Source organism: Homo sapiens, chromosome 1 (assembly GCF_000001405.40).
Source record: "Homo sapiens chromosome 1, GRCh38.p14 Primary Assembly".
NCBI classification, from domain to species: domain Eukaryota; kingdom Metazoa; phylum Chordata; class Mammalia; order Primates; family Hominidae; genus Homo; species Homo sapiens.
Window position 1 is genome coordinate 45,657,246 of NC_000001.11, and position 23,971 is coordinate 45,681,216.

Genomic DNA, 23,971 nt, shown 5'->3' on the forward strand with positions numbered 1-23,971 from the left:
GTTTAGAGCCGGGTGTGGTGGTTCATTGCTGTAATCCCAGCACTTTGGGAGACTGAGGCAGGTACATCGCTTGAGCCCAGGATTTCAAGACCAGCCGGGTAACATGGCAAAACCCTGTCTTCTACAGAAAACTACAAAAAATTAGCTGGGAGTGGTACTGTGCGCCTGTAATCCCAGCTACCTGGGAGGATGAGGTAGGAGGATCGCCTGAGCCAGGGAAGTCAAGGCTGCAGTAAGCCATGATCGCACCACTGCACTCCAGCCTGGGCAACAGAGTAAGACCCCGTCTCAATAAAAAAACAAACAAAAATCCCCAAATGAAGTTTAGCCTGGTACAGTGGCTCATGCCTGTAATCTCAGCACTTTTGGAGGCTGAGGTGACAGGATCGTTTGAGGCCAGTTCTAGACCACCTTGGGCAACATGGTGAGACCCTATCTCTACAAAAAACCCAAAAAAGTTAGCTGGGCATGGTGGTGCTCACCTGTAGTACCAGCTACTCTAGAGACTAGGGCGAGAGGATTGCTTGAGCCCGGGAGTTCAAGGCTGTAATGAATTATGACCATGCCACTGTACTCCAGCCTCGGTGACAGAGACCCTGTCTCAAAAATAAATGAGTAAAATAAAATTGAAACAAAATGAAGTTTAGAGCAAAAGATCATGGGTCTAGATGAGACCAGAAGCACCTTCCCAAAAGTCCACATTTTAAAATAGGAAAGGTAGGCCTTTATTTTTGGGAATGCCTACCAATTTCATCCTTCCTCTATTCGCTGGCAAAATGGGAAGCACTTTTAAGTTTACTAGCTTCCCAAACGTTTTATCAATAACTCAGGCTGATTCTTTTGTGTACTGTGACTAGGTCTGCTTTAATCTATATAAACTGGTAATTCCATTTGTGTTTACCCTTAATACAACACACATCCCCCCTGAAACTATTAAGTAGGTTAATGCCTCTAAAACAGTTTCTAGGATTTAATCTGAGATCCATGTAGTAGTTGAACAATCACTGCCTCTACCTTTTCCTCCTCTTCATCTATCGCCATAAACAAATGTGTGTTCACTCCAAAGGTCTGTTTACCCAAGTGCCATTCCCCTTTTACTTCTGCCCCTTTGACCTCCACAATAGGTTAGCAAGTACGTTTAATCTCCAAAGTGTGCTGCAGCTAATACAACACTTAACTGTGTCATGTAATGAGAAAAGCCTTAGGATATAATGAAAAAAGTGAGATACTTAAAAAAAGAAAAAAAGAAACATAAAAAAGTGAGATACTTGGCAGTAATAAGGTAGACATTCATGTGGACTGCCTAATTACTTACATCCTTCTAACAGAAAGCTATTAAGTCTATGAAAATGTTTTTGAAATCCTCACACGAGGTTGAATATATTAAAAAACATCAAGACTGGGCTGAGTGCAGTGGCTCACGCCTGTAATCCCAGCACTTTGGGAAGTCCAGGTAGGCGGATCACTTGAGCTTAGGAGTTGAAAACCAGCCTGGGCAACATGGTGAAATTCCATCTCTATAAAACAACAACAACAAAAACAAAAATTAGCAGGGCGTGGTGGTACACAGCCTGTAGGCCCAGCTACTCTGGGAGCTGAGTCAGGAGGACTGCCTGAGCCCAGGAGGCCAAAGCTGCAGTAAGCTGTGATCACACTACCGCACTTCATCCTGGGTGACAGAGGGAGACCCTGTCTCAAAACAAAATGAAACCAAAAAACAACCAAAACCACCCCCAAACCCTCTCATATTTGAGAAGTTACTACAGGAATGGAGAACAGTACCTTAGCTGACTGTGGTGTTGAGAAATTTAGCCAAGCAGGAACAAAATCATGCTGCGCCATTTAGGTCCAGTGTCTCCTTTCAGTAAGGTGAGGCATCCAACCTCATGGCCAGGATCTGAAAACAAAACAATTCAAATCACTTATGTTTACAAGAATCTGATACCAATGTGTAAAGGAATCTGTAATTATTCTAAGATTCCTCTTTACAGAAAGACCTGCCCTCTGAGCCTGTCTACAGATTACTTACCAAGCCTTATAACTCAGAGAAGTTCTAAATAAAAGCAATTTTTGTTAAAACAAAAGTTCTAAACAAAAGAAAACTGTAACATGAGCCTGGAAGATTTATTTTTTGGAGAGGAAGGGTCTTGCTATGTTGCCCAGGCTGATCTTGAACTCCTGGCCTCAAAAGATCATCCTGCTTCAGCCTCGCAAAGTGTTGGGATTACAGGTGTGAGTCACTGCGCCCAGTGAATCTGGAAGGTTTTATGAAGGAAGCTAATGAATTCTTGATTGTTACATCAAAGAACATGAAGAATTAAACATCTATTTAAAACCACAGACACTTATGAAAAGAGATTAATCTGCTTCAAGTACTCAGGTAACTTCTAGCAAAAGCAGTAGAAAAGATCTTCTTGGCTGGGCACGGTGGCTCACACCTGTAATCCCAGCACCTTGGGAGGCCGAGGTGGATCGCTTGAGCCCAGCAGTTCGAGACCAGTCTGGGCAACATGGCAAAACCTCATCTGTACAAAAATAATAATAAAGGAGCCAGGTGTGGTGGCACACGTCTGTGGTCCCAGCTACTCTGGAGGCTAAGGTGGGAGAATCACCTGAGCTGGGAAGGTTGAGGCTGCAGTGAGCTGAGATTGCACCACTGCACTCCAGCCTGGGTGACAGAGTGAGACCCTGCCTCAAGATGGGGGAAAAAAAGATCTTCCTAGAGAAGGACGATACAACCTCTCAAGAGCTTTTATATTTAGTTCACATTAATTTCTTCAAATACCAACTAGCATCAGTTTTCCTGAGATCTGTTGGTGTCTTCAAACCACCCCACTGATATTCTCCAAAATTAATTACATCAGAAAGCAGTCGGTATTTTTCATGATGCATATACATAGAGTCTTCTTTCCAAGTTAGACATATGGAGAATATTTACCCCAGAGTGTAACCTCTGTGGTCCTGTTTCTGAACTCGAGTCGGCCAGCTGGATCTCCCACAAGGTTTCCTTGTTAAAAGGGTGCTTAAGTAACCTGGCCGGCAGCACGACTTATGATGAAGCACGAAGAAGCCAGGTTCTGTGTCGATCACTCTCTCAGTCCCCTCAACTGCTCATCTTAAACTATTTGGTTCCTGACACGTTTCCAAAAGGGGAAAGGGGAAAAGGGGAAGGGGGGAAGGGGAACATAAAAAGTATTTGTTACATTTAAAAAGGGGGGGAAGGGGAAAGAGCTGTATCTATGTTCACCTCATTCAACTTCCTTGAGTTATGGCACTATGATGTTGCTTAATTAGGTAAGACATGGATATTTGCACCGAGTGCAAATACTGTTCATAACAAGGTCATAGCTAGAAAGACAGATGGGCTCAAGTGTGGACAAATAATGTCATCAAGGTAATAGATCAAAAATATTAAAGCCCTATAAAAGATCTGAGCAGTCAACTCCAAAACATCCACATGACAAAGTCCTTAAAATACAAATCTCATTACTCTTACTCATGCAACTGCTAAAAAATAGTGTGCAGATATGTATTTATATTTGCCTTAACCTTCAAAATCTAGGGACATAAATCTTGTCTTTGTTAAAAAAAAATAAAAAATAAAAATAGACAGGAATTTGCTACACTTTTCCCTCCACGAACAGCAGCTTTCAAGGCAAATTTCTTGGTATAAAGCTACTAAATGTATATTCTATGTCTTTGGCCTTTACTATTTATAAATTCAGAGCAAAGTTAAAACATTAGAACGATGGGTAGGATGGATATTAAGAAATAGTCAAGGAGAAATATAGGTCCAAAATGAGGATTTCTTCTCTTCAGTTTTCTGTGTTTCACTTGTTCTGCTCCTTCCCAAAATCTAAATTGAGCCACTGGAAGGAGATATGAAGAATCTTCTATGCTTTGGTAGAGAAGTCACTTATTATTTTGGATCCATTTCCACCACTTCACAATCATTTGAAAGGCCACACGAATCTATCACTCTGTAAATGAAAAAACAAAACATAAAATCACAGAAGGCAAAATCACTATCATATATACATATATCTGCTAAAATGAGACACAGTTAAATAATGAAATCAAGGTCCTGAGAGTCAAAACTCTTAAGTCCAATTTAGATACTACAGATGTATGTCACCACCTATACCAACAAGATGACTTGGATATAAATCTTTTTTAAGGATTTGAGAAAAGTCATCTAAACAGAGTTTGCTCTTTTTTTTTTTTTTGGAGATGGAGTTTCGCTCTTGTTGCCCAAGCTGGAGTGCAATGTCGCCATCTCAGCTCACTGCAACCTCCACCTCCCGGGTTCAAGCGATTCTCCTGCCTCAGCCTCCTGAGTAGCTGGGATTACAGGTGTGCACTACCATGCCCAGCTAATTTTTTGTATCTTTAGTAGACATGGGGTTTCACTATGTTGTCCAGGCTGGTCTCGAACTCGACTTTGTGATCCGCCCACCTTGGCCTCCCAAAGTGCTGGGATTACGTGAGTGACCCACCATGCCTGGCCTGGAGTTTGCTTTTTTATATAAAAGCACATGTAATCTCAACACTTTGAGAGGCCAAATTTTCCAATCAGCTATCTAAGGTATTCAGAAATGCAAAATAATAGGTCTTTCAGATATAGATTTTTCTCTCATAAATGGGACAGGTTGCCATGAGTGGTCAAAGAACCATATAGCTTGCTGGTATATCACCAACTACCTATTTGTTTAGTACTAGCCACAGCTAGGATCCTTGAGATATCTGTCACAGTATATTTTATATATTTATATGGTATATATTTTTAGATACCTGGCTCTCAATTCAGAGATTTAAAACTTTTATAATCTAACTTGTTAGGCACGGAGTGAAACAAAAATTTCTTCGGTAATTTCTCAACATTCTTTCAGGGGATACAAATTAGAAACAGGGTCTCACCCTATTGCCTAGGCTGGAGTGCAGTGACTTGATCGTAGCTCGCTGCATCCTTGAACTCCCAGGCTTAAGCAATCCTCTCAGAGACCTCAGCTTCCCGAGTAACAAAAACCATGGGACTACAGATATGCACCATCATGCCCATCTAATTAAAAAACATTTTTTTGTAGACACAGGATCTCACTGTGTTGCCCAGGCTGGTCTTGAACTCCTAGGTTCAAGCAATCCTCCTGCTTTGGCCTCTCAAAGTGCTGAGATTACAGGTGTCAGCCACTGTGCCTGGCTGTGGAAATAATTTTTTGATAGAAAAGAATTTTTGCATCTATGGGCAATTCTGGTCTATACTGGTAAATCTTAGTTTGGAAGATATTTCTCATATATCCAATTCAGCAGCCTTGCACTATTGTTCATGGGAATAAGTTCATAGGAATAAGAAATATCAAATTCAGGATAGTAAGTATCTCTGGGGAAATGAAGGGCAATAAAAGAGAGGCCCCAAAGAGTTTCAACTGTATCTGTAATGCCTTATTTCTCAAGTTGAGCGATGGGTACAAGATGACTATTCACTTATTGCTCTTTTTATAAACTTCTAACACTTAAAAGAATATTAGGCCGGGTGCGGTGGCTCACGCCTATAATCCCAGCACTTTGGGAGACCGAGACAGTGGATTAATGGAGGTCAAGAGTTCAAGACCAGCCTGGCCAACATGGTGAAACCCCGTCACTACTAAGAATACGAAAATTAGCCAGGCATGGTGGTGCATGCCCATAGTTCCAGCTACTCAGGAGGCTGAGGCAAGAGAATAACTTGAATCCGGGAGGCGGAGGTTACAGTGAGCCGAGATCCCACCAATGCACTCCAGCCTGGGTGACAGAGCCAGACTCTGTCTCAAAAAAAAAAAAAAGCAAAAAACCCCAAAATTGTTTTTATATAAGCCTACACCTGTAACTCTCAGTAATAGATAAATGAAACTGTCCCTGTAGTGAAGTTATTCTGGAAAAATAAGTCAAGCATCCATATGGAAAAGATATAAATAACTGTCTGGTGCGTACTTTTTATCTTACGAATTCTAGTTTAAACCACAGAGAACCTGAAGTTCAAGACAGAGAGATAAATCATCTGTTAGGGTATAAAGCTGTTGGACACAAAGGAAAATGCCTCAATTTTCAACATAAACAATTCCCTCTTTTCAATCACCACTAGGTACCTTCCGGTTTTCCAACTGACACACACCACCACCTTTTCAGTGTTTTACATACCGAATCCAAAGTTTCTATAGCAGAGTCCCAACTTAGGCAGTGACTGTAGAAGAAATACTAACTAGCAATACTTTGCTACTATTACGGGTCCTACTAACAATTACTCACCCATCACCCTCAAGAAGCTGGGATATCTGAAGTGTAAAGAGTGTGACCTACACATGCATGTGCAGAGTATGTGGTTGAGAGGAGATGCGCCATAAGTGGGGACACTTAATCAAACAGAACAAATAAAAAATGAAGAAGACAGATAAAAGAGATTTCTGTTCTGGAAGTAAAAGACTAAAAGGAAAAATCCCAAAATGTTAATAATGGTTTTATTAGAATGGTGGAATTATGGGCATTTTGTTTTATCTTCTCTATTAGTCAAAAGTTTTTGTAACGAACTTACTTGCTCTGAAAATTTTAAATTAAAGATCTTTAGTGATGTCTTTTAGGGCTGTGGCTATTTTTACAGAACGGCTAACTGGGAGACTTCTGCTTATTACTAAAAAATTCTGAGAAGAAAAAACACATCATTTAAAATTCTCTTAGAACTTTTTTTTTTTCTGAGACAATAGAGCAGGGTCCTGAGTAGCTGGGACTGCAGGTGAAAGCCACCATGCTGAGCTAATTAAAAAAAAATTTCTTGGGCCAGGCGCGGTGGCTCACGCCTGTAATCCCAGCACTTTGGGAGGCCGAGGTGGGCGGATCACGAGGTCAGGAAATCGAGACCATGGTAAAACTCCGTCTCTACTAAAAATACAAAAAATTAGCTGGGCATGGTGGCAAGCGCCTGTAGTACCAGCTACTCGGGAGGCTGAGTCAGGAGAATGGCGGGAACCCGGGAGGTGAAGCTTGCAGTGAACCGAGATCGTTGCCACTGCACTCCAGCCTGGGCAACAGAGTGAGACTCCGTCTCAAAAAAAAGGCCGGGCGTGGTGGCTCACGAGGTCAGGAGATTGAGACCATCCTGGCTAACACGGTGAAACCCCGACTCTACTAAAAATACAAAAAATTAGCTGGGCGTGGTGGTGGGCGCATGTAGTTCCAGCTACTACGGAGGCTGAGGCAGGAGAATGGCGTGAACCCGGGAGGTGGAGCTTGCCGTGAGCGGAGATGGGCCACTGCACTCCAGCTTGGGTGACAGAGCAAGACTCTGCCTCAAATAAAATAAAATAAAATAAAATAAAATTATTCCATAGAGATGGGGTTTCACTATGTTGCCTAGGCTGGTCTCAAATGCCTGAGCTCAAGCATCTCACAGTTTTTTTGTTTTGTTTTGTTTTGTTTTTGAGATGAGGTCTTACTTCGTGACCCTGGCTGGAGTGCAGTGGCATGACCTCAGATCACTGCAACCTCTGCCTCCTCCCGGGTTCAAGCAATTCTCATGCCTCAGCCTCTCAAGCAGCTGGGATTGCAGGCACCCACCACCACACCCGGTTAATTTTTGTATTTTTAGCAGAGATAGAGTTTCGCCATGTTAGCCAGGTTGGTCTTGAACTCCTGACTTGAAATGATCCACCGCCTGGGCCTCCCAAAGTGCTGGGATTAAAGGTGTGAGCCACTGCACCTGGCCTCATAGAACTGTTAAAAAAGATGAAAGATGGCCGGGCGTGGTGGCTCACACCTGTAATCCTAGCACTTTGGGAGGCCAAGGGGGTTGGATCACCTGAAATCAGGAGTTCGAGACCAGCCTGGCCAATATGGTGAAACCCCCGTCTCTACTATAAATACAAAAATTCGCTGGGTGTCGTGGCTGGCACCTGTAATACCAGCTACTTGGGAGGCTGAGGCAGGAGAATTGCTTGAACTCGGGAGGTTGAAGTGAGCCGAGATCACGCCATTGCAGGCTGAGGGAGACTCTCACAAAGAAAAACAAAACATGAAAGACTAGACTGGAGGGGAAATCAAGATTCTTTCTAATATGAGATGTCAAGCATGTGCTCTGGAGCTCAAAGGGGAGGTGTGTTCTACTGGTAGAATTTTCATAATTGTCAGTATTTGGTAGACAACATTTAAAGTTTGGGAATAGGTGAAATCCAAGGAGAACATAAAGATGGAAAAGTTGGCCAAGCGCGGTGGCTCACACTTGTAATCCCAGCACTTTGAGAGTCTGAGGCAGGCGGATCACAAGTTCGAGACCAGCCCGACCAACATGGTGAAACCCTGTCTCTGCTAAAAATACAAAAACTAGCCGGGTGTGGTGGTGCATGCCTGTAATCCCAGCTACTCAGAAGGCTGAGGCAGGAGAATCGCTTGAAACCGGGAGGCGGAGGTTGCAGTGAGCCAAGATCACGCCACCACTGCACTCCAGCCTGGGCAACAGAGCGAGACGCCGTCTTAAAAAAAAAAAAAAAAAAAAAAAAGGAAAGTTTCCAAGTCTTGTTTATTTCATTACTTCTTTTCCACCTGTTACTTTCGACTCTTCAAGGTCAAATTACTCTCTAACTTAAAAAACTAATTTTTTAGGCACTACTAGTCTCTTTCCACCATCTGCCTCAGCCTCTCCTACTGGTTGCCACTCTCTGTTCCTAGACTTAGGTTGTAATTATATCACTACCCTGCTCAAAAAGTTCTGATTTCCCACCAACAATACGACAGGATTTAAATTCCTCAGTCTAAGAGACAAGAAATAAGCCTTTCCCCCACCCCTCAAAAACCAGTCTAAAAAGTCTCCTTTAATACTCTGTCTGGAAGTAATCCCTGCCTCTGAAAATGAAATCTTCAAACACTTTTTTTTTTTAGACGGAGTCTTCTGTCACCCAGGCTGGAGTGCAGTGGCACCCACTGCAACCTCCATCCCCCAGTGGCACCCACTGCAACCTCCATCCCCCAGGAGAATCAAGCAATTCTCCTGTCTCAGCCTCCCAAGTAGCTGGGACTACAGGCGCCCACCACCACACCCGGCTAATTTTTGTATTTTTAGTAGAGACGGGGTTTCACCATATTGGTCAGGTTAGTCTTGAACTCCTGACCTCAGGTGATCCGCCCGCCTCGGCCTCCCAAAGTGCTGGGATTACAGGTGTGAGCCACCGCGCTCGGCCTCAAAGTACTTTAATTGTGCCTATTAAGCCACTAATACTCACTTCTTCCAGGACACACACAGCATGTATCTAGCATGGTACCATGCATATGGTAAGGATTCAAAAGTTTAATAAATTTTTATGAATTATAATAAAGCAAGGATGCAGAGAAATTAGAAACCTAATGTATTGCTGGTAGAAATGTAAAATGGTGCAGCTACTGTGAATAACTGATTAAACACTGAGGCACCATATGACCTAATAATTCTACTTCTAGGTATATATCCAAGAGAAATAAAAACATGTCCACACAACACTTGTACATGAACGTTCACAGCAGCCTTATTCACAATAGCTACAAAGCAGAAACAACTGAAATGTCTATCAACAGATGAATGAACAAAATACTGTATATTCACACCACAGGCTATTATTCAGCTATAAAAAGGAAATGAAGTACTGATATAAGCTACAACATGGATGAACCATGAAAATATTACGTTAAATGAAAGAAGGCAGACACAAAAACTGTAAGTTGTATTATTCCACTTATATGAAACATCCAGTCTCACAGAGCTAAAAACAGATCAGTGATTACCAGGGACTGGGAAGAGGAGGGAATGGGGTGTGACTGCTTAATATAGATGAAAATTTAGTTTGGGGTAAGAAAAGGTTCTGGAACTACATAGTGGTGATGGTTGCACAACGCTGAGAATGTACTTCATGCCATGGAATTGCACACTTTTTTAATTGCTTATGATGGTAAATCTTGTATTTTCCCATAACTAAAAAAATTATAATAAAGCAGTCAATGTTAATATTAAATACAAACACTGCCCTACATCACCCATTCTTTTTCAGATTACATAAGTACTTTTGCTCCCTCTCTACAAACTCCTTGTATCTGAATACTTGATCCAACCATTCATTCATAAACATCTGTCAAATATTTTATCTCTTCAAAACCTCCAACTTATCGGGCACCTCATATGTCAGGCGCACTATTCGGTACTTCACAACATGACCTAATTTTATATTTTATAATTAAGTTTATACTGCTAGGAGAGCACCTCCCCGGCCAAGAGTCTTATCTCAATTACCTCTACTTCAGGCTCCTTTTACCTAGATACAACACTACCAGTGCTCTTGGCTTCAACCACTCATTTTCTCCAGAGTCCAGTAGCATCATCAATTTATTCCTTCTGGTAACTTCAACTTCTATTTACACTGAGTCCACTTAACAAAAAACTGTATCCAATTCTCCAAATTAAAACAAACCCCCTTCCTAGAGCCTGTATCTTGCTCCAGGTATATCCTTTATGTGCTTTACTCTCCAGTTCTTTGAGACAGAGTCTCATTGTCGCCCAGGCTGGAGTACAATGGCTCAATCTTGGCTCACTGCAACCCCCACCTCCTGGGTTCAAACAATTCTTGTGCCTCAGCCTCCCGAACAGCTGAGATTACAGGCATGTGTGACCTGTATTTTGTATTTTTAGTAGAGACGGAGTTTCACCATGTTGGCCAGGCTGGTCTCCAACTCCTGGCCTCAAGTGATCCACTTGCCTTGGCCTCCAAGAGTGCTGGGATTACAGGTGTGAGCCACGCCTGCCCTCTAGTCTTAACAAAAATCTATACAGAATAGTGTACCCTTATTGTCTTTATTTCCTCACTCACCCATTTATTCCTCAACCCACAGAAAATTACCTTTCTCCCACAGCTCTGACTGGTACCCCTCTATTTTCAAAATATTCCCATTAAGTTAATCTAACTAGTATATGATAGGCATAAATAAGTTTGCAGAGAAATGGTTGATGAATGACAGTTTAGAAAAGATATGCGCTGAAATAAGAATGAATATATTTATAGTATTCAAAATTCTGTAGGAATATTTATGAAATTTTTTAAGTACCTAATAAATTAAATTGCACACTTAAAAACAGAACACCTAGCCAGGTGCAGTGGCTCACGCCTGTCATCTCAGCACTCTGGGAGGCTGAGGCAGGCGGATAACTTGAGGTCAGGGGTTCAAGGCCATCCTGGCCAACATGGTGAAACCTCATCTCTACTAAAAATACAAGAATTAGCCGGGCATGATGGCACACACCTGTAATCCTAGCTAGTTGGGCTGTTGAGGCACAAGAACTGCTTGAACCCGGGAAGTGGCAGAGGTTGCAGTGAGCCGAGATCACACCACTGCACTCCAGCCTGGGCAACAGAGCAAGACTCTGTCTCAAAAACAAAAACAAAACAAAAAAACCAAAACAGAACACCTGCATCTACATATTAGGCTGAACAAATGTTCTTGAGGATGTTAATGGCCGATGTAATGCCCTAAACTTGAAAAACTTCACCAGCCTAGGCAAAATAGGGAGACCCTGTATCTACAAAAAATTTAAAACTTAGCCAGGCATGGTGGTGGGCGCCTACTTGGGAGGCTGAGGTGAGACAATCACCTCACCTTGAGCCCAGGAATTCAAGGTTGCAGTAGGCTATGACTGTACTACTGCGCTCCAGTCTGGGTGACAGTGAGACTGTGTCTAAAAAAATAAAAATTAAAAGCTTCACTTAATTTCAATACATTCTCCATCTGTCATTGATACACCATTTTAATTCTGTCAAAAGCATAATTTTGAGCACATCTTCAACCATGAAATAGTTTCCATTCTATCTATACTATATAAAACAATTAAAAAGCATTGTCCTCTCTGTAACACCATTTAAGTTTGGCTCAAATACAGAGATTATTCTTTCTTTTTTTGGAGACAGGGTCTCACTCTGTTGCCCAGACTAGAGTACATTGGCACAATCATAGTTCACCATAGCTTTAAGCTCCTGAGTTTAAGCAATCCTCTTGCTTTAGCCTCCCAAGTAGCTGAGACAATAGGCGCATGCCACCAACAGTGGTGCTAGAGATGGAGGTCTCACTATGTTGCTCAGGTTGGTGTCAAACTCCTGGCCTCAAGGGGCCCTTCTGCCTCAGCCTCCCAAAGTGCTAGAATTGTAGGTGTGAGCCACTGTGGCCAGCCCAGGGATTTAATAGCTCTATGGGAAAATCTAAAAGTATGCAGCATCTGACTTTTGACCAGCCTTGTTTAATTTTGGCTCCATAAACAAAGTGACTTTAAGTAAAAGAATAACAGACATAGTTTAGTCATTTGAAAGTCTTCTTCGGGGTAAAGGCTTTTGGGTATGACCCCCCCTCCAACCCCCTGCCAAAATTGAGAAAATGACTAAGTAACATGATTTCATAAACTAATTGGATAGTTTACAATCTGTGTATTCCACAAAATAGAAAAAGAATGTAGTTCTCAGCTAAGGGATCATTAAAAATAATTTTTGATGGATTGTGAAGTGACTTTTAGTAAATACAAGGATTCAAAGAACTGAGTGGCACTGATCAAACAGTATGTAACATTCTTAGAACTTATATCCATAAAAATGAAAAACATAAGTTGGCACAAAACTGAACTCCTTTTTAGTATTTCCCTGTATCACTAGTTATCAATCTATCTTTATCTGTCTCCCACTGATCCCAAGCACACAGAACACTATCTGGAACATAGTAGATAAATATTTCCTGAATGAGTGTATTAATAAATGCTTTGGTGACTAGTAGGGCAGTACATCTTCAACTTCACAAGGTAATGTCATAATACTTCTGAACAACGTGTAACCAGTTTTCACCATCAGCAGCAGCATTTTAAGCGTTCCATCTGCTTTACATCTTCAACCAAACTACATATGGCCAGACTGGAGGTTATTCTTTGCTCTGCTGGTAGGTTTAACACGATCACCTACTGTGTGGTCTTTTAATCTATTTATCAGGTCTTTGTACTTCCCTTTTTATAGGATACCTATTCTTTTTACCATTCTTCTTTTGGTTGTTGATCTTATTAATGCAAGAGAATAAATCAGATACGAATCCTATGATTATATGAGTTGCAAATACCTTTTTCCACTTCATGGGTTATCTTTTGATTTTCTTTCCCATGTCTTGATGAGCACACGTTCTTAATTTAGATGCAATCAAAGCTGCTGGTCATTTCCTTTATGATTCACATTTCTGTGTCTTGTTTGTAACAGTTCTTCTCCAAGGTCCAAACAATTTACCTATATTGACTTCTTAGTTTTAAGTTTTGTCTTTCACATTTACAATCAGTTGGAAATGATTTGTATACGGTATGAGACCCAGGTCCAATTTCATTCTTTTCCATATGAAAAAAAAACTGTCCCAGAAGTATTCTTTTTCCACTGATTTATACAGCCAGCTCTATCATAAATTGTTTCTATATATGTATGCAACTGCTTCCAAATTTATGTTCCATTGGCTTATTTACATATTTCTACACTACTACCATATGTCTTTTTTTTTTTTTTTTTTTTTGTGAGATGGAGTCTCACTCTGTCACCCAGGCTGGAGTGCAGTGGTGTGATCTCGGCTCACTGCAAGCTCCGCCTCCCAGGTTCACGCCATTCTCCTGCCTCAGCCTCCCGAGTAGCTGGGACTACAGGCGCCCGCCACCACACCCAGCTAATTTTTTGTATTTTCACTAGAGACGGGGTTTCACTGTGTTAGCCAGGCTTGTCTCGAACTCCTGACCTCAAGTGATCCGCCCGCCTCAGCCTCCCAAAGTGCTGGGATTACAGGCGTGAGCCACCGCGCCCGGACTACCATATGTCTTAACTATCATACCTTTACAATAATATTCTGATATGTATTAGAGCAAGGCCATCTCCCCTCATAATATACCTATAAAATGCCTTAGCTATTCTTGGCTCTCTGGCTTTTTTTTTTTTTTTTTTTTGAGACAGTCTCACTCCATCACCTAGGCTGGAGTACAGTGGTGTGATCTCAGCTCACTGCAACCTCTGCCTCCCAGGTTCAAGCAAATCTCGTGCCTCACCTTCTCAAGTAGCTGGGATTACAGGCATGTGCCACCATGCCCAGCTAATTTTTGTATTTTTAGTAGACACGGGGTTTCACCATGTTGGCCAAGCTGGTCTTGAACTCCTGGCCTCAACTGATCCACCTGGGCCTCCCAAAATGCTGGGATTACAGGCTTGAGCCACCATGCCCAGCCTCTCTGACTCTTTAATATTAGTTTTAAAACAGGCCAGGCACGGTGGTACATGCCTGTAATTCCAGCACTTTGGGAGGCTGAGGTGGGAGAATTGCTTGAGCTCAGGAGTTTGAAATCAACCTCAGCATCATGGTGAAACCCCATCTCTACAACAAAGAAAATACAAAAATCAGCTGCATGTGGTGGCTTGCACCTGTAGTCCCAACTACTCAGGAGGCTGAGGTGGGAGAATTGCTTGAACCTGGGAAGCTGAGGCCGCAGTGAGCAGAGATGGCATCACTGCACTCCAGGCCTGGGTGACAGAGCGAGACTCTGTCTCTAATAATAATAAATAAATAAATAAATAAATAATTTTAAAAACAACTGTCAAATTTAAGGGGGAAAATATTGCTATGACATTGCTTGGAATGGCAATAAATCTAGATCAAAATGGGAGAACTGACATCTTCATAATAAATCTTCCAAATCATGAGCACGGTCAACTTCTTATTTAAGTCTTCTTTAACATCATCAAATAAAGTTCTAAACTTTTCTCCATAAAGATGCAATAATACCTTTTTAAAAAGATTTATTCAGGCTGGGTGCGGTGGCTCATGCCTGTAATCCCAGCACTTTGGGAGGCCAAGGCAGGCAAATCACGAGGTCAGGAGCTCGAGACCAGCCTGGCCAACACTATGAAACCATGTCTCTACTAAAAATAAAAAAATTAGCTGGGCATGGTGGCCAGGCGCTTGTAGTCCCAACTACTCGGGAGGCTGAGGCAGGAGAATCACTTGAATCCGGGAGGCGGAGGTTGCAGTGAGCTGAGATTGTGCCACTGCATTCCAGCCCAGGCGACAAAAAAAAAAAAAAAAGGATTTATTCTTAGGTACCTTTATATATATTTTTTGATGCTATTGCATTATTTCCTTTAAATGGCTGTTTACTGCTGGCATAAATTATATCCAGCAACCTTGCTAAACTCTCATTAATTCTAATAATTTGTCTATAGATTCCACAAATAATGAGAGACAGAAGAACTCTTTTTATACACATGTTAACTTTTAGGTGCCTACCAGACATCGAAGTGGAGATGTTAAGTAGATAGCTGGATAAGAGTCTGCAGTTCATGACAGAAATACAGACTGTAGACCAATTTTATTTAAATCCATGGACCCAGATGAGATCATCAACAAAGTGAACGTAAAAAGAGATGGAACCTTGACATACAGCTTTAAAGATTGGGGAGACTGAGGAAAAAAACCATCAAAGTGTGGGGACCCAGAAGCTAAGCAGAAACATGTTTCAAGAAGGTAGAGTGACCATTTTCAAATGTTATTAAATAGGATAAAAAGCTGAGAACTCATCACTGGATTCACATGGAAGTGTCAGTGATGATGTTGGATAGGGGAGGTGGTGAAAGCCTGATTCCAGTGAGTTCAAGAGGGAAGGAACTGGAGACTAAAAGTATAGACAACTCTTTTGAGAAGTGTTGCTGCACAACAGAGAAAAGGAGCATGTAGGCTAAAAGGGGATGTGTGGTCAAAATAAGTTTTTTACTGCACTGATAGGAATAACCCAGTAGAAAAAGAAAACGATGCAGCTGATACAGAAAACTGCTGAAATATCCTTCAGCAGTTCAGAGGGGTGAGATGGGATGTACCAGTGAAGACTGGCCTTCAGCAGGCTCATGAATACATAGGTGGGAAAGCAGAACACGTGGGTACTAATGCAATGAGAGCTTGGAAGGTCTACCCTGATTGCTTCTATCTTCTCAACTAAGTAGACAGCAAGACCTTCAGCTAAAAGTATGGGTAGGTGCAGAGGAGTTGAGGGGTGTGAGAAGAATTAAAGCGTGAAACTGAAGAATGAACTACAGAGATACAGCAGAGCTTCCCAGCAGAGTAAGGGCCCACACTTGTAAGCTACCATGACTTTTGACTCCCTGAAGTCTCTTGCTCTTCTCACTGACCCATACCCAATTCCCCAAATGCCAATCTAAGTTAAGATCCCAGTTCTTGCTTACTTTGCTTGTCACCCATGAAGCTGACTGTGGTTGAAAGATACACAACCATGCTTTTAAATATTTGTTTTCGGCTGGGCGCGGTGGCTCACGCCTGTAATCCCAGCACTTTGGGAGGCCAATGCAGGCGGATCACAAGGTCAGGAGTTCAAGACCAACCTGACCAATATGGTGAAACCCCATCTCTACTAAAAATACAAAAAAATTAGCCAGGCGTAATGGCACATGCCTGTAATCCCAGCTAGTCGGGAGGTTGAGGCAGAATTGCTTGAATCCGGGAGACAGAGGTTGCACTGAGCCAAGATCACGCCACTGCACTCCAGGCCAGGCAACAGAGCAAGACTCCGTCTCAAACAAACAAACAAAAAAAATTGTTTTCTACAACAAAGAACCCTAATCAATATACTCTCAAAAGTCAATGAAAGCCAGGCACGGTGGCCCAGGCTTGTAATTCCAGCTACTCAAGAGGCTAAATCACGAGAATCTCTTGAACACGGGAGCGGGAGGCTGCAGTGAGCCGAGATTGTGCCATTGCACTCCAGCCTGTGTGAAAGAGTGAAATTGTCAAAAAAAAGAAAAAGTCAATAACCTGTGAATCCCCAACTTCAATGGCTTACACTGTTTACATGTTCCTTAGCAAAACCCATCTTAAATCCCCTGATTTCCATGACATTACATCATTAGACCAGCAGTTCTCAAACCTGGATTACATCAAGCTAAAAAAATTCAAAAGATGTTTTAAGGACTGACACAGGATTGCCTATTTTATTTGGATAAGTAGAAGATTAAAAATTTTAATATCACAATTTCATTAAAGACAGTATGTCATAAAAGACAAATCTTGGAAAAAGGAACAACTCACCTTAAAAAAAAGTTAACAATCTTACATTGATAATATTCACAAAGGGCTGAAGTCTTTGTCAGAGAGCAGCAATGAGTGACAACCACTGTATTAACATATCCTGATCTTCTCCCTACCCTGTGATTACAGATGGTCCCTAACTTAGGACGATAGTTCAATTTAAGATTGTTCAACTTTACAATATTGTGAGGTGAGAAAGCAACTCAACAGAAACCATACTTTGAATTGTGATCTTTGCCCAGGCTAGCAATACGCAGTACAATATTTTCGTGTGATGCTGGGCAGTGCCAGCAAGCCATAGCTCCCAGTCAGTCACAAGGGTTAGACAACAGTAAACACCTGATACTGTACAGGGTATGTGTTGCCAGATGATTCTGCCCAACAGCAAGCTCATGTAAGCATTCTGAAAACGTGTAAGGTAGGCTAGGCTAAGCTATGATGCTTCGTAGGTTAGGCATATTAAGTGCATTTTCAACTTAACATTATTTTCAAATTACAAATGGGTTTATCCAGATGTAAGTCAAGGAGTAGCTGTACTTTTTTCGGACTCTTCCTTTCTCTTGTCAATGTAATGGTTCTTTAAATGCTTCCATGTAGTCCTTTTCTTGTTTTTCTGTGCTCTTCATTATCTCATCAATTTTCAAGACTTCAGGTCTCCAAGTGAGTGACTTAAACTCTTGCTTCATTGGGAGGCCGAGGTGGGCAGATCACAAGGTCAAGAGATCAAGACCATTCTGGCTAACATGGTGAAATCCCGTCTCTACTAAAAATACAAAAATTAGCTGGGCGTGGAGGTGCATGCCTGTAGTCCCAGCTACTTGGGAGGCTGAGGCAGGAGAATCGCTTGAACCCAGGAGGCGGAGGTTGCAGTGAGCCGAGATCGAGCCACTGCACTCCAGCCTGGCAACAGAGCGAGACTCTGTCTCAAAAAAAATAAAAATAAATAAATAAAAATAAAAAAATAAAAAATTCTTGCTTCATGGGCCCATTACAATGCATTACACTTACCTTTTTATGTATTTATCTCCCTTACAAATGGGACACACTTGGTAGGGATTAATAGCAAAGGTGATTATCTCTATCTTTTTATAGACGGGGTCTATTTAGTGGGTGCCCAATAAATGGTAATTTTTTAAAGGTGTTGACAATTCTATAAATTAGTATCCCCTTCATCTTAACTGTTCTTTTTTGAGACAGGGTCTCACTCTGTTGCCTAGGCTGGAGTGCAGTGGCACGATTACGGCTCATTACAGTTGACCTCCCAGGCTCGAGTGATCCTCCCAGCTCAGCTTCCCAAGTAGCAAGGACTACAGGCACCTATCACCATGCCTGGCTATATTTTGTAATTTTTGTAGAGACAGGGTCTTGGCCATGTTGCCCAGGCTGGTCTCAAACTCCTGGAGTCAAGCAATCCACCAGCCTCGGCCTCCCAAAGTGCTAGGATTACAGGCATGAGCCACTGTACCCAGCCTTCTTACTGTTCTTAAGAGCTATCCTTGAGCATTCCTTATTCCTTAAACTGCAGATCCTAAGACTATAGTATGTTTATCTTTAAATATTCACTAACCCTAATATTTCTTTTCAAAATCTCATGATTTGAAAACCACACAGGTTTAAGGGACTTCCTTCAAAGGACTGTATAACCTTACAGTAGTCTATATACTCATTTTCTATCTGTACATAGTTTCCCTCCTAAGTCCTCAACAAGGAGAACTCAAGGGTTATTAGTGCCTTGCTTCTTTTATTTCTAATTCTTAACAGAAAAGAGCCCAAAGCCATTTTCTACTTTAGTACTACTTATTTTATCTCCAGAAGAGAAAAATTCCTATTTAAGATTTTCTGAAGAATATGAAATTTGAGCAAGTCTTTCAATGAACCAAAAGGGGACATAAGATACCTTAAGATTTTTTTTCCCATACAGCATTTCTGTCTATTAAGAAAATACTTGGGGCTGAGCACAGTGGCTCATGCCTGTAATTCCAGCACTTTTGGAGGCCAGGGTGAGCAGACTGCTTGAGCCCAGGAGTTTAAGACAAACCTGGGAAACAGGGCAAGACCCCATCTCTACAAAAAAACACAAAAAAATTAGCCAGCTTTGGGAGGCCGAGGTGGGAGGATCACCTGAGGTCAGGAGATCAAGACCATCCTGGCTAACATGGTGAAACCCTTTCTCTACTAAAAATACAAAAAATTAGCCGGGCTTGGTGGCAGGCACCTGTAATCCCAGCTGCTCGGGAGGCTGAGGCAGGAGAATAGCTTGAACTCGGGAGGCAGAGGTTGCAGTGAGCCGAGACTGCACCACTGCATTCCAGCCTGGGCAACAAGAGCGAAACTCTGTCTCAAAAAAAAAAAAAAAAAAAAAAATTAGGCATGGTGGCACATGCCTGTAGTCCCAGCTACTTGGGAAGCTGAAGTGGGAGGATCCCTTGAATCCAGGAGGTCTAAGCTGCAGTGAGCCATGATTGTGCCACTGCACTCCAGCCTGGGTGACACAGAGAGACCCTGTCTCAAAACAGCAACAACAACAACAAAGTACTTCGCCAGGAACGGTGGCTCATGCCTGTAATCCCAATACTTTGGGAGGCCGAAGAGGGAGGATCACTTGAGCCCAGGAGTTTGCCATCAACCTGAGCCACATGGTAAGATCTCTACCAAAAAAAAACAAAACAAAGCTAAAAAAAAAAGGGCCAGTGCAGTGGCTCACGCCTGTAATCCCAGCACTTTGGGAGGCTGAGGCAGGTGGATCACTTCAGGTCAGGAGTTTGAGACCAGCTTGGCCAATGTGGTGAAACCCCATCTCTACTAAAAATACAAAAATTAGCCACGCATGGTGGCGCATGCCTGTAGTCCCAGCTACTCGGGAGACTAAGGCAGGAGAACTGCTTGAACCTAGGAGGCGGAGGTTGCAGTGAGTGAGCTGAGATTGCGCCACTGCACTCCAGCCTGGGTGACAGAGGAAGATTCGTCTCAGGAAAAAAAAAAAAAAAAAAAGAATTTTAGCCAGGCATAGTGGTGTTGTAGTCCCAACTACTTGGAAGGCTGGGGTGGGAGCCTGGGAAGTCAAGACTACAGTGAGCTGTGATGATCATGCCACTACACTCCAGCCTGTGCTACAGTGTGAGACCCTGTTTCACAACAGCAAAAACAAAGAGAAAGTACCTAATACTATGGTGATTAACATGGATATGTAAAGTCTATTATGGAGTCTAATAAACAAAATCCCTGTAGTGGCTAGGAAAAGAAAAAAATATAAACAAACAAAAATTGTATTTCTATCACAAATTCAACGACAACAATGGGATTTCTGTACCCATAAGAGGTGCATGAGAGAAATCATGTGAAGTGCTATGACATAATATAAAGCACAATATAAAACATTATCTCGAATTATTCACTAATTCATACTCTTAAAACCTGAATCAAATCATGAGACTATTTTACACCTATCAAACTGGCAAAAGAAATTCTGACACTACAAAGTGTTAATGAAGATGAGGCACAAACAAAGAATTCTCATATATTGCTGATTAGAGTGAACACTGGCACACAACCACTTTGGAAACTGGCAAACAAGTTGTAAAACCTCTATGACCCATTAATCCTAATCACCCATGACCACAAGAAATTCTGATAACATCCTACAACATGGATGAACCTTCATCCATTATGCTACATGAAAGAAGCCAGACACAAAAGACCACATGGTATACTTATATGAAACATCCAGAATAGGCAAATCCAGAGAGAGAGAAAGTAGATTAGTGGTCGTCTAGAGCTAGAGAGGAATGAAGAATGACTGGTAATGGTTACAGTTTATTTTGGGATGATGAAAATGTTCTACAATTAGTAGCAATGGTTGTACAAATGCGAATATACTAAAAACCACTAAATCGAACACTTTAAATATGTGTATTTTGTTATATAAATTACAGCTCAATGAAGCTATTCTCCCAAAAATTAAGACCAACGATTGATACGGGACTGGGAAATCCTTCGCCACCAAGGTAACACCATGCAAATTAGTTTCTTGTTCTAAGGGGAAAGATTGTTTAATATATAGATAGGACTACCTTAATAAAGAACCAATCTTAGCATTACAATGTCTTTTGTGATACAATGCAAAATGAGGAATTGCTATGCTGTATTTTAGTCAACAATGTTTAAAGGTGAATCCATCAATCTGTCAGCTATAAACTTTAGAGAAAAATACAGGAATTAAAAAAAGAACAAGCTAAATAATACCATAAGGATGCAATCATACCAAACCACTCCAGGTTAAGTGACACAGTCTCAAAATCAGTGTCACTGAAAAATAAAGACTATACTGCACTAAAAAGATATAGATAAAGTAAACATTTGCAACAAGGTCCTGAATCAGATAATGGCTTGGATAGCTAGCTGTAATAAACATTTTTTGGATCAGCTGGAGAAATTTGAATAGCACCTGGGTATTAGAAGAAATGATCATTTACTCACATGGAAAGTGGGTATCACCAACTAAAAAAAGCAAGTTGATCTCATTTAGTAAAATAAAAATAGAAACCTAAACATATGCACTTAGACTACAATCTGGAAAAAAATGCACGGAGTTGTGAACAGTAGTAACTCCTGTGTGATGGGAATGCCAAGGCTTTATTTTTGCATATCTATATAGTCTAATATTCTACATTACCCTTACATTGCTTCTGTAATAATAAAAAGAAAGAATGACACGGAGAGTTTTAATAAACCACTGATGTCCAGGCCTTACCCCAGATAAATTTTAAAAGGTTGAGAACTATCACTTTTGAGAATTGGGGCAGATAAAAGGGAAAATTGTCTGACAAGTTTAAAAAGGAATTTATCAGAAGAACCCTGGGAATTCAGAGGACGAAGCAGAGGCTCCCTTGACTTGGCAAACACGAAAAACCAAAGGAAGCTAAGCATTCAAAACCCCTGCCAAGGTCATGCCACAGGAAGAGCCTGCTTAGGAAACTGCTCCAGCTAGTAATGCCACCACCAACAGCCACTGGAATGAACTCCAAACGGTCCTTGCATCTTTGCATCTCTCACTTCTGGTGCAAGTCCCCAAAGTAAAGGGCATCTGACTGGCACAGTTTGGGTAACATGACCCAGCTCTAGCTGCCAGGGGTCCAGCACAGAAAGTTTATCTATATGGTATGTGTATGTGTGCACCCAACCTTTCCAGCATCCTCTCCCAATAAGATTCACAAAAAAGCAATACTGGAAGGGGGCTAAAATGGTAAACAGACAAAAGAAACAACAAAGAACCATTTTAAAGCCCAATTAGTAAAATGTCCAACACAGGAATCCTGCCAGTCTAGCCATTTGGAATCAACTTGAATTACTGTGCCTTCTTCTACTTCATTGTTCCAAAAAAATTTCCTAAAAAGTAATTTTAGGCAAGGCACAGTGGCTCATGCCTGTAATCCCATCATGTGGGGAGGTAAAGATGGGAGGAATTGCTTGAGTCCAGAAGTTCAAGAGCAGCCTGGACAACAGTGAGAGACTCTTATCTATACAAAAAAAAAAAAAAAAAAAAATTAGCCAGGCATGCTGGCACACACTTGTATTCCCAGCAGGGCGGGGGGTGGGGGCCCAGGATGAAGCTGAGGTGGGAGGATCACTTGAGCCTAGGAGGTCAAAGCTGCAGTGAGCTATGAACATGCCACTGCACTCCAATCTGAGCAACAGAGCAAGACCCTGTCTCTACAAAATAAATAAACTTTTATCAGTTTCAGCAGCACCAAAAGGCTCTATTTCCCTATGATTACAAGTAAACAGGCTATTTGTAACATTTTCAAAACTATAGTTTTTTTAAACAAATGAGTGATTTAATAGTAGTGACTAACAGATTGAGACACGCTTTTTTTTTTTTTTTTTTCTTGAGACAGAGTCTCGCTGTGTCACCTAGGCTGGAGTTCAATGGCACAGTCTTGGCTCACTGCAACCACCACCTCCCAGGTTCCAGTGATTCTAGTGCCTCAGCCTCCAGAGCAGCTGGGATTACAGACATTCACCACCATGCCCGGCTAATTTTTGTATTTTTAGTAGAGACAGGGTTTCACCATGTTGACCAGCCTGGTCTTAAACTCCTGGCCTCATGTGATCCGCCTGCCTCAGCCTCCCAAAGTGCTGGCATTACAGTTGTGAGCCACCATGACCAGCTGAGACATACTTTTTTTTTTTAAAAAGAATCATTTAAAAGCATCTCTAAAAATCTCTTCTTAGATGAGCTTCACTTCCAATGCAAATATTAATTTTTAAGTTAGAATAGCAAATTCTGGACCTAGATGGCTCTGTCACACACTAGCTGTGTGACTTTGAATAAGTTATTTCACCCCTTTTTGTCCCAAATACCTACCTAATTTGGAGACTCTTGAATTGTTGATTAAATGAGTGAATGTATATAAAGTGTTAAGAGTAATGCCTGGATGTTGTTCCCTGCAAAAAGAAAAAAGAATAGTGCCTAGCCTACAGTGAGTATACCATAAGTGCAAATAATAAAATGCCTAATAGTTGGAGGGTAGAAAATAGGGAAAAAAATTCAGTTTTGAGAAATTTTCAGATTGAATATGCTGAGACAACTATTCATTAGTAACCAAAACCAGGAAACAAGAACACTGAAAACCCATGATACTTGGCTCAATTTTATAACAGAATAAATATACAAGTAGGAAAAAAAAAAGGCAGGAAAGAAACTACCTGGAACAGTTAATACTGAATTGGGCACCAAAGCAAACCAAACACTCCACTTTACTTAGCATCTCAAACGAGAGTAAATAAACCATAAAGTTATTCTATGTTGCCCAACAGAGAAATTGCAAGAAAATGATACAGATGAGAA

At 41.4% G+C, this 23,971-nt stretch overlaps 1 protein-coding gene across 15 annotated transcripts in view, besides 2 other annotated features; it reads right to left on the reverse strand.

The window, feature by feature from the left end:
• The window catches only part of GPBP1L1 (GC-rich promoter binding protein 1 like 1), a 60,807-nt gene that overhangs the window by 29,942 nt on the left and 6,894 nt on the right, over positions 1–23,971 (reverse strand). For all 15 annotated transcript variants that reach the window (XM_047427077.1, XM_024448810.2, XM_047427059.1 and 12 more), the window contains 2 exons: positions 2,939–3,980; positions 1,783–1,897 (listed from right to left, as the gene is read on the reverse strand). In XM_047427077.1, the coding sequence (XP_047283033.1) occupies positions 1,783–1,842 (60 nt within the window). In that variant the 5' untranslated portion in view covers positions 1,843–1,897; positions 2,939–3,980. The remainder of the gene's footprint in view (positions 1–1,782; positions 1,898–2,938; positions 3,981–23,971) is intronic.
• Positions 19,564–20,064: an enhancer, noted in NCBI's record as "H3K4me1 hESC enhancer chr1:46142481-46142981 (GRCh37/hg19 assembly coordinates)". NCBI's record gives its function as "activates a minimal SCP1, AML or CMV promoter by ChIP-STARR-seq in primed H9 embryonic stem cells {active_cell/tissue: H9 hESC(primed)}" and the evidence as "EXISTENCE:reporter gene assay evidence [ECO:0000049][PMID:30033119]".
• Positions 22,632–22,926: a silencer, noted in NCBI's record as "tiled region #13545; K562 Repressive DNase matched - State 14:Gen5'". NCBI's record gives its function as "represses a minimal TATA promoter and a strong SV40 promoter by Sharpr-MPRA in K562 cells {active_cell/tissue: K562}" and the evidence as "EXISTENCE:reporter gene assay evidence [ECO:0000049][PMID:27701403]".